At 39.1% G+C, this 17,827-nt stretch overlaps 2 protein-coding genes and 1 pseudogene across 3 annotated transcripts in view, besides 3 other annotated features; 1 reads left to right on the plus strand and 2 right to left on the minus strand.

The window, feature by feature from the left end:
* POLN (DNA polymerase nu) overlaps window positions 1-15,689 on the minus strand; it is a 170,204-nt gene extending 154,515 nt beyond the window's left edge. Inside the window, exons 1-3 of the mRNA NM_181808.4 lie at window positions 15,619-15,689; window positions 15,088-15,358; window positions 2,667-2,811 (exon numbers count right to left, since the gene is read on the minus strand). Coding sequence (NP_861524.2) covers window positions 2,667-2,799 — 133 coding nt within the window. The 5' untranslated portion in view covers window positions 2,800-2,811; window positions 15,088-15,358; window positions 15,619-15,689. The remainder of the gene's footprint in view (window positions 1-2,666; window positions 2,812-15,087; window positions 15,359-15,618) is intronic.
* On the minus strand, window positions 1,917-15,689 carry HAUS3 (HAUS augmin like complex subunit 3). 2 transcript variants are annotated; one of them, NM_001303143.2, is made up of 6 exons: window positions 15,619-15,689; window positions 15,088-15,358; window positions 13,606-14,661; window positions 12,172-12,611; window positions 9,796-10,024; window positions 1,917-5,728 (listed from the first exon to the last, which is right to left on the minus strand). In NM_001303143.2, exons 3-6 carry the CDS (start codon window positions 14,512-14,514, stop codon window positions 5,495-5,497), a joined length of 1,812 nt encoding a protein of 603 aa, NP_001290072.1. In that variant the 5' UTR covers window positions 14,515-14,661; window positions 15,088-15,358; window positions 15,619-15,689; the 3' UTR covers window positions 1,917-5,494. The 2 variants fall into 2 exon arrangements, with proteins under 2 accessions (NP_001290072.1, NP_078787.2); NM_024511.7 differs by lacking the exon at window positions 15,088-15,358.
* COX6B1P5 (cytochrome c oxidase subunit 6B1 pseudogene 5) lies at window positions 7,819-15,477 on the plus strand (annotated as a pseudogene).
* Window positions 14,872-15,373: an enhancer, noted in NCBI's record as "H3K27ac hESC enhancer chr4:2243031-2243532 (GRCh37/hg19 assembly coordinates)". NCBI's record gives its function as "activates a minimal SCP1, AML or CMV promoter by ChIP-STARR-seq in naive H9 embryonic stem cells {active_cell/tissue: H9 hESC(naive)}" and the evidence as "EXISTENCE:reporter gene assay evidence [ECO:0000049][PMID:30033119]".
* Window positions 14,980-15,079: an enhancer, noted in NCBI's record as "active region_21165". NCBI's record gives its function as "activates an Ori minimal core promoter by ATAC-STARR-seq in GM12878 lymphoblastoid cells {active_cell/tissue: GM12878}" and the evidence as "EXISTENCE:reporter gene assay evidence [ECO:0000049][PMID:35858748]".
* Window positions 15,760-16,119: a silencer, noted in NCBI's record as "silent region_15158". NCBI's record gives its function as "represses an Ori minimal core promoter by ATAC-STARR-seq in GM12878 lymphoblastoid cells {active_cell/tissue: GM12878}" and the evidence as "EXISTENCE:reporter gene assay evidence [ECO:0000049][PMID:35858748]".

The raw sequence follows: 17,827 nt of genomic DNA on the forward strand, positions 1-17,827 counted from the left end.
CAGGATAATTAATGGTTACATTTCAGCAGGGAGAGATTTTAATTGAGAAGTAAATTTTGAGGTGTTGGCAATGTAAGTGGTAGTTACATGGATGTTCTCTTACATTAATGTGTTTTGCATTTTTAGTGTTTTTCATGACAAAGTGTTTCTAAATAAGGATCTATACTTGTTTCAAGAAGATATAACAGTCCAATCTTTACTGAATGTGTATCTTGAGTCACCTCAGTCAGTCTAGCAGATAAGAAAATTAGACCCCAAAATGACAAGTATCACAGGTTTAATACAGTTTGGTGTGACTTAGTGTTTGTAAAAGTAAATATGTGTAGTTTATTTCCATTAATTTCTGAGTTGAAATTCCATATTTATTTGGTATGAAATAGGCTCATGGAAATAAAAGGCTAATTTACAATATTTTTCTTAGAAGAATTTGACATAACAGCTCAGTATTTCACAAGAATCCAGAGTCAATTAAAACTTTAGGTCCAGCATCACTCATCAATAATCCACCAGCAATCCAACTTTAATTTGGATTCATATGATGAAGGAATAAAACTGGTGAGAATCTGTGGTGGAAAGACTCCAAGGTGGCCCTATGATCCCTGCCTCTTGGTATCATGTCCTCACATAACCCCAAACCGCTTTGAGGGTGAATGGGACTATTGATTAGCTTCTAACCAACAGAACACACCAAAGGCAGCAGCATGTATTTGATCACATTATATAAAACTGTAATGTCAGTGCTGCTAGGGAAAGTGAGCTGCCATATTGTAGGTTGCCCACATAGAGGATCACATGACAGGAACTGGGGATGCCTTCCAGACACCAGCCAGTGAGAAACTGAGACCCTTGGTCTGAAAGTCTACAAGAAACTGAATTCTGTCAACAACCATGTGAGCTTAGAAGAGAATGCTTCCCCACTGCAGCCTCAGGAGAGACACCAGACCTGGCTGACACCTGGAGTCCACCCTTGCAGAGGACCTAGCAGAGTCAGGTCCAGGCTCCTGACGCACAGAAACTGTACAACAATAATTGTGTTTTTTAAGCCAATAAGTTTGTATTAATAATGTTATACAGCAATAGAAAATACAAAATCCTTATGAAAATTCCACTATTTTTACAAATCCAAGAGAGAAAAGTAGTATCATATCTTTTTCTATTACCTTCTCAATAACCTTAACAAACAAAAGCCAGAATTTTAACGGGGTATTTTATTTTCAGAGATGAGATCTTGCTATGTTGCCTAGGCTGGACTCGAACTCCTGGGCTCAAGTGATCGTCCCAGGCATTAACAATGTATTTTAGAACAACAATAAGAGCTTATATGAGATGGACTGACTGTCGTAAATTTTTCATCAGAGCCTCATATTATAGCTGCCAGAGGCATTTCATTATTCTTACCGGTTTTTGAAGGGGAGTATATTTCCACCTCTGTCAAGTATGCACCCTCTATTATTCAAAAAAATATGGAATAATGTGATTATGATAGTGTCTTACACTATCAATTGCTAGGCATGTAATTCACACTCAAAAATTCTTACCAGTTTATTAGTGACTTCTACTATAATAAAGTATATAAGCAACAGATGCCTCAATATGAATGGATCAAAACGTTAAGTGCAAATGTATCTTAATCAAGATGTGTTTATAAGAGCTTTTGTGCTAATATTCGGCAATACTCTCAATTATTTCAATGCAATTTCATTACTCAATTATATCTCACTCACTTATACCTTATTTTGTAGAAAGAGAAACCAACCACAAACTATTGGCCCAGGCTTGCAAATTTAAAATAAAAACTGCTTTGCTAGTAGCAAAAAAAAAAAAAAAACACCAACAAAAAACAAAACAAAAAAACACCAAAAGCCCTGATGTTATAAACATTTCAGTGACATTTGTGAGCATATCACTGCTTTCACTTTTTTTTTTTTTTTTTTTTGAGATAGAGTCTCACTCTGTCGCCCACGCTGGAGACCTCAGCTCACTGCAAGCCCCGCCTCCTGGGTTCATGCCATTCTCCTGCCTCAGCCTCCCAAGTAGCTGGACTACAGGCGCCTACCACCACTCCCAGCTAATTTTTTGTATTTTTAGTAGAGACAGTGTTTTACCGTGTTAGCCAGGATGGTCTCGATCTCCTGACCTCATGATCGCCGACCTCGGCCTCCCAAAGTGCTGGGATTACAGGCGTGAGCCACCGCACCCGGCCCCACTGCTTTTACTATTATACCACATCATAAATCCATATACACTGATCCAATAATCCTTGCCACCTAAGAGTTTACATTTCTATAGCAGCACAATACACATATTGTCAAAAACATATCTCTTGTTCACCACACAAAATAGCAAATACTATGTACAGGTTTGATGACCTGAGAACCAAGATTAAAGCATCTCTTTTGAAAATACTAAAATACCTGATCCAGATTCTAAGGGAATGTTTGACAGAAATACCTGGAATAAGGAAGAGAGTGTTACATTTTTAAAGCAATGAAGGTTAAGGGAACACGAAAGTTAGCAAGCAGAAGCTCAGTCTGCACTGAATGAGTGTAAAAGGGGCGGGAGCTGGGCTTCATCTGTCTACATGCATTCCATTTTCAATTCTTAGTCTTTAGAACAATTAACATTCAAAGTATCAAGAGAAAGAAAGGTTCATAAAAATTACTTACTCTCTGTACTCTTTCCCCAAGTCTTAGAATCCACTAAATCACCTGAATGCATAGCAGACATAATCTTCTGAGCAACACTGGAGAGCGGTGTATTACAGAGATCAAAGCCTACCAATGCCTCATAATTTTCCATTTTCACAAAATCCTAAATGTAAGATTAACATAAGATAAATCCCATATATTAATCCTAAGACTATAAAACAGGAAATACAATTATTTTCAAAAATTTATATACCAACTTTCATTTAAAATGTCTATATTCATAACCACAGAAAATAGGCATCAATCATCCAATAATATAGATAGAAAGAAAAAAGCAAAATAGCTAGAGGCTTAATCCAGGTATCATAGTAAATAGATAACTTATTTTCTAGGTGACCAATTTAGAAGCAATCTACTCAAATACATCCTGAGGTTTGAAAAATGTTATTAAATCTTCAAATAGGCTGAGCGCGGAAGCTCATGCCTGTGATCCCTGCACTTTGGTAGACTGAGGCGGGTGGATCACCTGAGGTCAGGAGTTCGAGACCAACCTGGCCAACATGATGAAACCCCGTCTCTACTAAAAATACAAAAAATTAACCAGGCATGGTGGCACCTGTAATCCCAGCTACTCGGGAGGCCTGAGGCAGGAGAATCACGTGAACCCAGAAGGCAGAGGTTGCAGTGAGCTGAGATCATGCCACTGCACTCCAGCCTGGGCAACAAGAGTGAAACTCCGTCTCAAAAAATAAAAAATAAATAAATAAATAAATAAATCTTCAAATAAACCTACCTAGTAACACAACGATTATAAGTAACTTGGGTAATTACGGCAGACACACAACTACCATCCGTGCCTTGATCTGCCCTGCTGGCCCCCTGGGCTGAGCAAGTCAAGGTTTGGGTGGGGACAGTATAAATCAAGCATCTGGGCAGGGGCATGGTGGCTTACACCTGTAATGCCAGCACTATGGAAGGCCAAGGCGGGTAGATCACTTGAGGTCAGGAGTTTGAGACCAGCCTGACCAACATGGTGAAACCCCGTCTCTACTGAAAATACAAAAATTAGCCAGGTGCAGTGGTGCACGCCTACAATCCCATCTACTCAGGAGGCTGAAGCAGGAGAATCACTTGAACCTGGGAGGCGGAGGTTGCAGTGAGCCGAGATCATTCCACTGAACTCCAGCCTGAGTGACACAGTTAGACTCTGTCTCAAAAATTAACTAATAAATCAAGCGTCTGGCCACACATCTAAATATGTGACACTAATTTAAACAGAATATGCTACCATAAACCAGGAAACCAGGTGACATATTTTCCACATTTTTGGAGAAAATAAAAATTTTAAGTAAATTCTCTATTCCGAAATAGAATAGAAAAAAACATATACAACAAAAAAAAAGTTGCTCAGGTGATAGGGAGCTGATAGCAAAATCTTAAACAAAATTTACTGCTACAAAATTAAGGTTTACATAAAATTTTAAATAACATAAACACAATAATTGGCAAAATATTTTTGTTCAATGGGTTTCAAAAATCAAGAAGGTTCATCTGTCATCTAGGTATGCCTGTTTTCTGATGGTTATAGCTAAAAAATTCCATAAAGACCACCCAAAACATGTAGTTTTTAGATTGGCATTCCATATTACGAACAGGTGAGGAATATTCTTAAAGGTATTCCTACAAAGCTCACATGGTATTTACCACAGGCCATGTATAAATTGGGCACTCAAGAAGCATCTGATGTAATAACAGATGAGCTACTTCAAATTATTTTAGAGCAACGCTTAAAATATTTTCTGGCTGCCCAAATACCATTGTTAAATACAATTAGACATTTTTGCTCTTAAACTGATTAAAATAGTATCATACATCTTTTGAGCAACCACTTTTACAGAATTTTGAAATTCAAATTTCATTTGAAAGTCATTTATGATGTGTAAGTCACATTAAAGTCAAAGCACTGCTCAGCTGTCTTGTAGAAACTTTTGAGTCCCCAGAATTCAGACTCTAAAATGAATGCAGGCAGGCCAAGGAAGTCCTAATACTCTGTGGTACAAGTAGGGACATTAAAACAGCCTAAAGGTCTATAGCAGGGAATTATGGAGGAATACAATTTGAGCAGCAGAATTTTATTTGACAGTCAAACATGAGGGGACTTGGCTATTTCACATATTAAGGTCTACAGATTTAAAAATGCTGACTAGAAGTTCTACACATTTTAAAATATTTAATAGCGGCTGAGCGTGGTGGCTCATGCCTGTAATTCCGGCACTTTGGGAGGCCGGGAGAGGGGATCAAGAGGTCAAGAGATTGAGACCATCCTGGCCAACATGGTGAAACCCCTTTTCTACTAAAATACAAAAAAATTAGCTGGGTGTGGCGGTGTGCGCCTGTAGTCCCAGCTACTTGGGAGGCTGAGGCAGGAGAATCACTTGAACCCGGGAGGCAGAGGTTGCAGTGAGCCAAGATCGTGCCACTGCATTCCAGCCTGGAGACAGAGTGAGACTCTATCTCAAAAAAAAATTTAACGGCAGAAAATTTCTATTTCTAAAAAGGAGAGAGATAACTATATTAAAAAATATTTGCATTATGTAATAATGCTTTTTCCCTGTAAGTAAAAAATTACCAGGACTAAGTACCACTAAACACATGCTCAAGTCATAAAAAGCACTGGTATTCTGAATGTACTACATGAGAAAAAAGACAAATTAATATAATAGTTCAATTCATCAAATTAAATGTTCCATTGACCTCAAATTTTAAAAATTTAGTAGTGTTTATTATACACAGTCTTCTAATAAATAAAAGAGGACACGTAATAAAGATTCAGTTTTCAGTAATTTTCAATCTTCAAGACTAACAGCCTTAATCTTTGATTGAGTTTCTAAATTCTCCACAATATCTTTCAGATAATCTTCATCTTTTAAAAAATATACATAGAATTCTCTTTCCATTTGATGTAATTTATTATTTGCCAAAGTTTTTCTTTTTGTCTTCACATCAGCAAGAATATCAGTGAGGAGATGATTTAGCTTATTCAGTTGAGATTCAACTTTATGAAACTGCTCTGTTAACTCCTAAAAAAGGAAAATAAAAATAAAAATTAAAACACTTTATTCCTAATACCAATTATAAAATTAAAATATAATTTACATGGAAAGACTTTAAAGGACTTAATAACTTCCCGCAATTTTAGCAATAAATAAACCTCGATTTAAAATCCATAACAGGTTTAATATAAATTCTAAGTAAGATTAATTGCAACAACTTCTGATAGATAATTTTAAGTGATTCAAAGGAAACTCTTGCTGAAGTGTACTCGATATGTAAGCTGTTCTGTGCATTCATATATTCAACAAATGCTATTGTGCCAAGTACTGTTTTAGAGATTACTGATACAAGAATAAACAAAATCTCCCTGATGGAGCTTATATTCTGCTTAATAAATCAAACCTTGTTTTAGCCTATTCTCTGTTTATTCTGGACAGAAGGTACAGAGAAAGTTGAAATGAAGACCAATAAAAGAGAATTAGCTCAACACAAATCTCCATTTTTCATTTTTTCATATTGTCTTACCAAATAGAATTACACATGACATTCCACGAAAACCATCCTAATCATATAATTTTCCTGCTCAAGAATCTAGCCATGCCGACCCTTCATATTTATTACAGTAAATTCAAATTCCTCAGTGTCTAGCATTTAAACCAGATTATTAACAAGTTTCCATAGCTTTCTAATCAAGCATTCTACTTATAAATTTTAGCCAGTATCACCAAAGAGGTTCTCAGAAAAATCTGTTGCTCTAACTACCCTCAATTTTCCACAGCTTCTAGGCATAGTCCACAAGTATCATAATTATCTGAGGTACTTGTTATGAATACAGATTCCTGTACCCCCCCACTAGACTAAATTACTTAATCTCTGTACAGAGCTAGGAACCTGCGTTTTGATACGCTCCCTGATGATTCTAATGTACAAGTTCAAGAATGACTACTTAAGACCTGTCATAAATGCCAATTCACAGAGGAGTACTTCTTAAAATACATACTTTTGAAAATCAAGTAATTTCGACATTATATCTACATTTAGTGATATCCTCTAAGACAAACTTGGTAAACTTGAATATACTGAGAAACAACAATCTCATCTTTACCTTCAATTAAATACTAAAGATCATACAGTTGCTAAAACAACATTGCTACAGATACTGAAGTTCAGCTTCATTAATAATAGAAACACAAGTTAAAATTGATACGGCATTTTATATCACATTGAGCTAGGGAAAAACACTAATGATACCCACTGATAAGATTAGAGTGAGATTACCATATTTTAGTGATTCTTGGATGCATTTTTTTTTCACATTTTAACATATCTGAAATGAAGATGCATCTTAATCAAGAACATCATATGATTGTTTCTGGCCAGGTACTCTTAAGAAATACTTTCTCATCAACATTCCTGATACACAGTGTGGAAAATTACAGACAACTCTGAGTCAAAAAATAACAGAAGAATTGAACATTGAAATGTGATGCTTTAGAACTACCCTAACCATTTAAATTGACTTATTTTTTTCCTTTTAACATATGCCCAAGAGTGGTATGATAAAAATCTATGTCTACCTACATCTAAAAAGATCTTTTCTAGTAAGTATGAAAAACAAAAATTCTTAATAAGAAAACATTGTGTTGGTTTAACTAAGAGTTTTTCTTTTTTGGCAATTCATAAAATGATGGCGTGCCATATGGTCAATGGTGTCTAGTAGACACTTATATAGTGCTGGTAGCATTATAAACTCCTTTAAAAAGCAATCTGGCCATATCAAAGGCAAAAAAAAGTGTATATACCACCCTGGCACAAAAAACCCCAATGACCCTATTTCCAAGAATGTATCCAGATGAAAGTATCCAACAACAAAAAGCTATATACACAAAGATACATATGATATTGTTCAAGAGCAAACAAAAGAAAAAAAAGAAGACTATCAAAATACCCAGTAACAATAACCAGCTACAAAATTGATGGCACAGTAATTAAATCAAGACAGTATAGTTAACATTAAAAGTTAAGAAAACTATTTAGAGAGTAAAAATGTTTATTTCATCATGCTAAGTAAAAACAAAACTATGGTCTTTGCTGAGGGTCTTTAGAAGTTAGCACCATGGCAGAAGACATGAAGGTCAAAATTAAGAACTACAGGACTGTCCCATTTGACAGCCACTTTGTCAACTAGAACCAGAACATGAACTGCTGGCAAAACTACCTGGACTTCTACCACTCCAAGACGGCAATGACTGCTAAAGGGGGTGATGTCTCTGTGTGCAAATGGTACTGGCATGTGTGCAAGTCCCTCTGCCCCATATCCTTGGTCTTGACCTGGGACAAAGGCACGTTTCCTGGGAAAATCAGAACTGGCTCCACCCCACCTTTCCTCTGTTCTCCATCCTTCTCCCAGGGTGGTAAACGGGGACCTGGGTACATGATGATCCCTACCCTGGGTCCGTGAATCAGGACTTAACTAATAACAAAAACTTACTGGAAAAGTGTAAAGAAAAGAAAACTATATGCCTTACATTACTAAGCAAAAGAAAAATGGCAAAGGAATATTAATATTAGACAAAACAATATCAAGAGAAAAAGCATCACCAGGAATAGTCATTATGTAATGCTAAATGCTTTGATTCACTGCAATTTAAAACGACCAGGATAATTATTCACTGCAACTTTAAACCTGGATATAACTTATAAAATAGACTCAAAATACATAGAGAAAAAAATGATATACAACTACATGGAGAAATTTTCTTCTTTTTTGACACCAAGTCTTGCTCTGTCGCCCAGGCTGGAGTGCAGTGGCGCGATCTTGACTCACTGCAAACTTTGCCTCCCGGGTTCAAGGGATTCTCCTGTGTCAGCCTCCCAAGTAGCTGGGATTACAGTCACCCGCCACCACGCCCGGCTAATTTTTGTATTTTTAGTAGAGATGGGGTTTCACCACCTTGGCCAGGCTGGTCTTGAACTCCTGACCTTGTGATCCACCCGCCTCAGCCTCCCAAAGTGCTGGGATTATAGGCGTGAGCCACCGCACCCAGCCTATGTGGAGAAATTTTCAAATCCACCATCGCAGTGGAAATTTTTAAATCCACCATCGCAGTGGAAATTTTTACACAATTCTCAATAGATCAAGAAGACAAAAATCAGTAATGGGAGACCTTTCAAAAAACAAATCACAGATACCACTTCACACCCGTTGGGATGGCTACTGTTTTAAAAACCACAGGAAATAACAAGTGTTGGCAAAGATGTGGAGAAACTGGAATTGTGCAGCTGTGAGACATATAAGACCATCATAGCAGTATGATCTATAGTAACAAAAACTGTAAATAACCTAAATGTCTGTCAATCTAACAGATAATTTCATTGTGGAATATCATATAATGGAATACTAACTATACAAAAGAGAAAACTATGAATGAACTATATAGCTTTACGTGTATCAACATGAGTGAGTCTCAAAAACATATTAAGCCATTGAAAAAGCAAGCAAGTCATTGAAGGATACATACCTTCAATATACATGCCTTTGGTATACCACCACCAGTATAATAACAGCACATAAAGTTCAACGACATATAAAACTAAATACACAGTCTAGGAATATATATATATGTGTGTATGTGTGTGCGTAATAAAACTATACATAAAAGCAAGAAAATAATGAACAAATTAAGCATGGTAGTCACTCTTTGAGGATGAGAGAGGAATTATATTAGGAGGAGCATGTACCATTAAGTGTACACAGAGGATTTTAAAGCTATAAAGGCAATCCTGTGTTTGCTAAGATGAGTGAAAAAAAAATACAGAGGCGGTTTTATTTATTTTTTAACACTAGTATAAACATTACATATTCTTTTGTGTCTGAAAAATTATATACATTTTTAAATTTCTGTGCACACTCATCAAAACTATCTGAAAAACATATTTATATGTGAACAAAAATTAGGAGATATAGAAATATACTTTATATTAAGGCAATGAAATTGGGGTAATATTTTCCTCATGTTAACATTTTCTTTAATATCTTTTACAACAAGCATTTTTTTAAAAAGCATTTTTAACTACTATGGCAAATACCCACCTGATCACTAAGCAAAAGCTGATTTCCTCCTTGATACAAAGTATCACAAAGCATGTCCACATCCTTATTCCGTTTGGACAGAAAGAAAGAATGTTCTTGAGCAGATACTGCCAACTGATCTTGTACTAAAGAAATATTCTGTTTCAATTTCTCAGCCACTTCCTCAAGGTTTCCATGAGTTAGAAACAATTCTTTTTTCTTATTCTCTCCCTCCAAAACTTGGTAAAGCCTGAAATGTAAAAATTAAAATTATAGGGAAAAATTATCAAGTCAGTATCATTTTCAAAATTACAATCCACTGTATTGGGGCATTTGTGGGGATAGCTAAGTAACAACTTATAAAAATATTGGCCGGGTACAGTAGCTCACGCCTGTAATCCTAGCACTTTGGGAGGCCAAGGCGGGCAGATTGCCTGAGCTCAGGAGTTCGAGACCAGCCTGGGCAACATGGTGAAACCCCATCTCCACTAAAATACAAAAAAAAAGTTAGCCGGGCATGGCGGCATGCACCTATAGTCCCAGATACTCCGGAGGCTGAGGCAGGAGGATTGCTTGAACTCGGGAGGCAGAGGTTGCAGTGAACCCAGATTGCGCCACTGCACTCCAGCCTGGGCGACAGAGTGAGACTCCGTCTCCAAATAATAATAATAATAATTATAATTATAATAATAATATTATTATTATTTGTGTGCCTGCAAAAATCAAGCAACTGAAACCATTCTAACTGTAATACTATTTCAGTACAGAAATATATATTCTAACTACTACATTAGATAAACAGTCTATTACTGAATTCCCAGTTTCCCCACCATCCAAGTTTTAGATATAAAACTCTTCTTAACTTTAACTGCCACTAACGTACTTCAAAGTGCACTTCAGAGATAACCTCCAAAGAAAACACATGTCTCATAGAATATAACTATGATGTAGTAGAAACAACAGGCTATGGCTCATGCCTGTAATCCCAGTATTGTGGGAGGGTTACTTGAGCCCAGGAGTTCAAGACCAGACTTGGCAACATATTGAAGCCCCATCTCTACAAATTTTTTTTTTTTTTAATTAGCCAGGCATGGTGGCACGTGCCTGTAGTCCTAACTACTCAGGAAGTTGAGGCAGGAGGATCACTTGAGCCCAGGAGCTGGAGGTTGCAGTGAGCTATCATCACATCACTGCACTCCTACCTAGGCAAGAGAGTGAGACCTTGTCTTAAAAGGAAAGAAAGGGAAGGAAAGGAAGGGAAAGAAGAGAGAAAGAGAGAGAAAGGGAGAGGAAGGAAGGGAAAGGAAGGAAAGGAAGGAGGGAAGGAAGGAAAAAACAAGCAAGCAAGCAAGCAATGAATTTGAAACGGAAGACCTAGATCTAGGTCTGAGTTTTCTGTTATGTGAAAGCTAGGGCAAATCAATCTCTGAGACTTATTTCCACATCTTAACTACTACACATCTTAACCTACCTATATTACAGGATTGTGGTGGGATTAAAAGAGAAAAACTAAAATTGTAAACCATGTAAAATATAAAAATAAATGTAAAATTTAAACAATGTAAAATGTAAATAGTTACATAAATAGCTATAATAGTAAACTTTTGCTCAGAATTTTTTAAATAGTTATTTTATCAAGTTGTAACAGACTTCCTAAAACTGGTTCAATCCCAAAGCTGCCAATTAGTCTTATAGATGTAACTACACAATTCCAGGGGTATCATTCACATAGATCATAATGTCAGTGGTACCCCCTGAAATTGTGCAATGAGGCAACCCTATCCAGGCCCCTCATTTTATTAATAAGAAAACAAAAAGATTAGATGCTTTTACCCTAGTCCTGGAGAAAAATGAGGAGTAGGAGACAGATTTTTGAGGTCTTAAGACTACTTTAGCCCTCCAATTTTCAGTATCCCTCTGCCATCAATTGCTCAGACATCCAGATGAAGCCTGGGAGCTGGCATTCATTCTCAATGATTCTCCTGACTACACACAAAAATGAAGTCTTCTCCCCTCTCTACTGCTACCTTCTCCAAATGCAGTCAGTCCCCTGCCCAGCAACACCTACTATGCTGAGCTGTATTCAAACTTCCTGCCCCAAATCTAAAATAAGGTATATAAATAATGATGCCTAAAGGGGAATAAACCCATTCATTCCTCCAACTCATCCACTTAAGCTATAAAGTAGCTATTTTCAGATCTAACATAAATGGAAAAGGCAGCAAAAAAACTAAAAATGAAAAAAAAAAGGCATATGAAAATGGAAAAAAAATAGAAAGGCCAAAAGTGAAATGCAAAGAATTGTTAAAAACTTCCAAAATTTTAGCTCAAACTCTCTCTAGTATTTCGCAAAAACAAAAGGAAATATTTACTAAAGAAACAATGAAGCATACGTACCTATGAGTAGAATAATCCTTAGTATCAATGGTATTCCTTGGATTTATCTGTTGAGAAACTGATGGATCTGTTAACATTTCTAATTGCTTGTAGAGCATCATGTTACTTTGACTAAGTTCTTGAACCAAATTTTCAAGTTGACGATATATGTCCCGATGCTTTCTTAATTCAATTTCATATGATAACTGTAGAAGTTCAAATGATGCCTTTTGTTTTATTAATTGATTTAAAACTAACTCTTGTCTTGCTGTATAATAATCTTGTTTAGCAATCTGCAGATCAAAATCTCCCTTTACCACTGGCATATTCAATAACTGGGCATTCTCTCTTACCACAGCAGGTAAACTTCTGTCTTTTATTTGAGTGACCTCTTTTTCAAGTTTCATAATCTCACTGGTCAAGCTAGAAATTTTAGCATCCAAATTTTCTTTGTCCACAGCCTATACAAAGAAAAGCAATTACATTTCAAACTGTATGCCTAAATTTGAAATCATCTTAAGATTATTTTCACTTTCCACTTTAGGTGACCAGATAATAAGCTCAATGAATGAAAACTAATTTAATATTCATATAAACAAAAATTACAGTTTAAAAGGGAAAAATGTGGACTAAGTCAAGGGTATGAATTACTAAATTTTACTGCTATTACTACCATATATATAGTAACGGCTACCAAAATAGAGATCTTATTATACTTCTTTTAATCAGAATCATTATTAATAGGACACTATTCACTGAATCCAAGTATATGTTACTAGTTTTTCTTAAGTTAAAATTACTTCAATAGGTCCTAGTTGGCCAGTTGATTTTAGCACTTCTACGTAATTATTGGATTTCCTATATCATTCAAATGTTTTGTCAGCTATAGAAACTAACTTGGTGCTGATATTCTGATTCAGAAAAGTTACATTTTTACTCAAGTATCTAGCAGTTATATTACCAAGAAAACAAGCTCTCCAAGAGTGCAGACAGACATCTGCAATACATCTATCCATATATTCTCAAAAAGAAATCAGTTTCAGTCTACTGAACCTGGACCTCTGACTTCATTAGCACTATGCTCTGGTTGGAGCAAACGAGGCAGAATACCCATAATAAAGCAATTAGTTTCTAGCCACATCTTAAAAAGAAAATCTCAGTCCAGTCTGTATCTGCATTACACAAATTTAAAATTCGGAATGCAAATTAAAGCACTTTTGTTTAAAATAAATTAGATAATGTGGTAGAGATTATAATTACTATTGCTGCCCTCCATTAACGTATGGAACTATTTGTATGAAACATTGACACAGATCACAAATAAGCACTGAACAAAGAAAATAAAATGTAATCTCTTCTCAGATGCACCATTCTAAAGTACTTTAACAGCAATATTATCTCCTCTATTCCTAACAATAATTACAATGTGAATCCAATCTCATTTCTTATGCTTACCTTGCTGGTTAGGCTGTGAAGACTCTCCTCTGCCCATTTTATACTTGACTTCATGCTCGAATTACTTGCTTTTAAGTGAATTAACTGATGTTGAGCACAAATGTATGCGAGCTGCAGTCTAGCCATCTCTAGTCGTCTCTCCTCAAGGATTTCTTGATTATCACAAATAGATGGTGTCTGTATATCTAAAAGTTGAAAATTGTCTTCATTTGAACTTTCAACTACTTCATGTATACCCTGAAAGAACTGTTTTTTGGTATACAAAGTTAATGCTGCTGTGCTTTGCTCTTCCTGACTTAGGTATTTTTCCAAGGAAAATTGCGATAAAAATACCAGTGGATTTGTCCCTTGACCTAAATTAGAATGTCTGAAGAACATCATCAATTGTGTAACTTCATCAGTAAGAGCCTGAAGTTCATTACTGATCTTAGTGATCATTGCATTTAGAATTCCTTGACTCTGCTTCAGCTTTTTAGTGGCTTCTTCTTCTTTAGCATTTAACCTCAGAGATTTGTGGCTAGTTACTGAAGCCATCAATTGACATTTATTACGTCGCTGAATTTTTAGGTTCTTTAATTTCAGTAGAGTTTGAACCTCATCCTCTAATTTCTCCAGCTCTTTATCATCCAGTCTAGGTGTCTTCAAATCAGAAGTTTTACACGTTTTAAGAGCTTCATCCAATGCCGCCCCTTCTAGAATAGGCTTGCCTGATTTCTGAAGAATGCTAAAAGCTTCCAATTCTCTTTCAGACAACACGTTCTGTTCATTCACATTCCCACAAAACCACTTCAGAAACGATTCATCTTCAACGCCCTCAAACAACCAGTCAAAGTCTTCTCCATTAAGATTATCAGCTTTGGGATAACCAATTTTTTTTAATGTTTCCACAAACTCATTTCCACAACTCATGGTTTTAACTACCCCAATTTTGTTGTATCTGATATGGGTTTACGGTGTTGATTTTTAGAAAATAAATCCAAGCAGAAAAAAAGCTACGTTTTATACCAAGTCCACAGAGAAGGGAAAATATATTTTTAGAATCTATAATGATTCCTCCTAGGGGGGAAGAAAACAAGTATTAGACCACAAATATGACGACAGTGTTTTTAAAAAGAAGACACAGACAAATATCACATGATATCCGAGAGCGGGATAAATGACAGGTAGTCGTAGCTGCAATGTTTGATGATGATAAAGAGAAACAGAAACAATTAGGCTAGTTCTCAGAAAACCGCAACAGTAACGAAAAGTAATTAACAAGAAAGTGGATCTATTTGGATCCATTTTATCTTTTTTTCCAAAGATAAAATGGTTTAAAATGCATTACACTTTATAGAGCAGCATTTGTTTTTAATTCAAAATAAATGGATCCAAACAAACCCAAGCCACCAGGAGGCTAGGCAGCCTCTCTTCCCTGCCCTCCGTACGTAAGAAGACGCAAATAAGCATGGCACATCTTCTGAAGATCAACTAAATATTTACCTCAACGTCTCGCCGGGCAAGGCTCCACCTCCAGAGTCCACCACCGCGACGCGGAGAACAGCAGGAGCAGCAGGGAAGCGCGCGGCCACAATTAAGGGTGCTTCGGGCCGGCCTTCAGCCAGCGCTGAGGCAGCCCCGACGCCAGGGCCGCGCGAACCCCAGAGGCAGCGGCAAGCCCCAGGGATCCGCGGCCCCAAGGCCGCGATACACCAGACGCGCCAGCGGCAAAACCTTCCTTCGGAGGGTCACCCAGCTGTGACACCTAAGCACGCTGACAAAACAAACGCACAAGCCCACCGAATCGCCGTCGACACCGAGCTGCAGAAGACGGGGGTGACAGGCCCCGCACAGCCCCCGCCCCAGCTCCTCGCCCAGCGGACCGGGCCCTGATCCCCGGGCAGCTGCTGGAGCACCTGGAAGGAGCCCCCAGGAGCGCAGGAAAAAAAAGAGGCACCTGGGTGCAGACGGGGATCGCGGCCACTCCTCCAGCCCCACACCCCTGCGCCCAGAACCGAGGCCCGCGTCAGTCACCTCAGGAAGTTCCGCTTGCTTCTCGCAGGAGCCCGCCGCCACCGCCCTCCGTGCCCCGCGCGCCTCGCACTGCCTCACGGGAGCGCCTGGACGCGCGCAAGCGCACAAGGCGACGGCGTGGTCGTGGGGGATGACTGTTTGCGCAGGCGTAGTGTCAAAAGAGGCGGAGTCGGCGAGGCTGGACTATGGGGTGGAGCTGAGCAGGCGGCGCTCGGCCCCCGGCCGCTGCGGGCATCCTGCCTCCTGGGCGGGGCGCAGGGCAGAGAGAGGCGGGGTCTGGGCCGGGAAGGGCGGGGACAGGGCCTGGACAGGGGCGGGGCCTGGGCAGGGGGCGGAGCCTGGGCAATGAATGGGGTGCAGAGGGGTGCAGAGGGGTGCGGTGGGGCGCCCTCTGGGGAGCTGAAGCTGCGGGCCTGCTCTCAACGGAGCCGTCAGTTGTGCTTCAGGCCTGCCCTGCCCCGTACTTCAATCTAGACCCTCTGAAGGCACTTTTGAATGGTACAAAGAGCAGCGCAGGTTGGTGGTTGGGAGACAGGCTGGAGCCCGGCGGTGATAGCGCTCGCCCCCGAGAGAGACGAGTTCCCGGAACATTCACAGCAGCCCGACCAATGCCTGGTACATTTTAAGGGTTAGGGATTGTTCGCTTAGAGTCTTTTACAATGAACTTTATTTTGCAAAAACACTTAATTTCTAATCCCTCACCAGAACACTATGTAAAAGCTGACTTCTGGCCGGGCGCGGTGGCTCATGCCTGTAATCCCAGCACTTTGGGAGGCCGGGGGGGGGGGGGGGGGGGATCATGAGGTCAGGAGTTCGAGACCAGCCTGGCCAAGATGGTGAAACCCCATCTCTACTAAAAAATACAAAAATTAGCCGGGCGCGGTGGTGGGCGCCTGTAATCCCAGCGACTCGGGAGGCTGAGGCAGGAGAATCGTTTGAACCCAGGAGGTGGAGGTTGCAGTGAGCCGAGATCACGCCACTGCACTCTAGCCTGGGCGACAGAGCAAGACTCCGTCTCAAAAAAAAAAAAAAAAAAAAAGCTGACTTCCTCCACAATTCCCTTTTCAAAATGTTAGAAATAAACGGAATGGCCTGAGTTAAATACATCGATATATTTAACTCAAGGAGGATGGTACACCATTTCCAAAGAGGATGGCAGTCAGTGAAAGATGACTGAAACGGGATTGCTAAATTTCATGTGAATCTGGCTGATGCCCTACAGCCCAGTGAAACCAGACCTCTCTATTGGACAGAATTCGTTTGCATCTCTACCAAACAAAAATCCTTTGCCACTCCTCAGTCTTCCACAGGTTAGCAGGGGCTTTGGTCATGGGTAAATATAATAGTACTCCCTCCCTTCAGCGTCAAATGACCCTAAAGGTGGCTTGTTAGACAATGTCCTAGTCCAGGGTGACTAGGTAGAAGTCGTTTGGATAGTTTTTCTTAATATTTTTAAGGAGAGAAATAAGAATGTTCTAAGGCAAATATTGTAATCTGATCGAGTCAAAGATATTTCCTATTCATTCTTCACTTGTTTCACGTTTTTTTCCTCCTCTTTTAAAAGTCAATAAGGCCTAAAATGATCTGAAAAACAAACATGATGGGAAAAAATTCAAAGAGTGGTGCCCAATCTGCAGGCAAGGAAACCAGGGATGCTGGAACGGGGAGGCCTGGTGGGAGGACCCTTGCAGCCCAGGGTTGGAGGTTGGGGGTGTGCATCAGGGGGCAGAGTTGAGCCAGTTTGGACAGGAGGAAGTGGGAGCTGTGCAGGCAATGCCTTCCAGAAATGTTGCTGATGAGGCAAAGACTGGGTGGGAGGAGTGTGACACAGAGAGAGAGATACAGAGAGACAGAGAGAGACAGAAACAGAGAGACAGAGACAGAGAGACAGAGACAGAGACAGAGAGACACAGAGAGACAGAGACAGAGAGACAGAGACACAGAGACAGAGACAGAGAGACAGAGACACAGAGAGACAGATAGAGACAGAGACAGACAGAGAGACAGAGACAGACAGAGACACAGAGAGAGAGAGAGAGGAGAAAGACAGAGAGCGAGCATGCAAAACAACACAAGCTGAGGGGGTGGGAATGCAGGGCTGAGGGGAGGATTTTTTATTTTGTTTTGTTTGAAAATGAGAGGAACTCGGGGATATTTATAGACTGCAAGGAGGAACTCTGAGGAGACAGCATTAAAGACGGCAGAAAGA

The sequence above is a fragment of the Homo sapiens genome, chromosome 4 (assembly GCF_000001405.40).
Source record: "Homo sapiens chromosome 4, GRCh38.p14 Primary Assembly".
Lineage (NCBI taxonomy): Eukaryota > Metazoa > Chordata > Mammalia > Primates > Hominidae > Homo > Homo sapiens.

What these genes read in the sequence shown, in the direction of transcription:
- HAUS3 (NM_024511.7), bottom strand. Translation starts at nt 14,514, where the DNA reads ATGAGTTGTGGAAATGAGTTTGTGGAAACATTAAAAAAAATTGGTTAT. An exon ending in TTCACAGCCTAACCAGCAAG is followed by an intron (nt 12,612 to 13,605) that starts GTAAGCATAAGA and finishes TTCTTTGTATAG; the next exon opens with GCTGTGGACAAAGAAAATTT. An exon ending in AAGGATTATTCTACTCATAG is followed by an intron (nt 10,025 to 12,171) that starts GTACGTATGCTT and finishes TTTACATTTCAG; the next exon opens with GCTTTACCAAGTTTTGGAGG.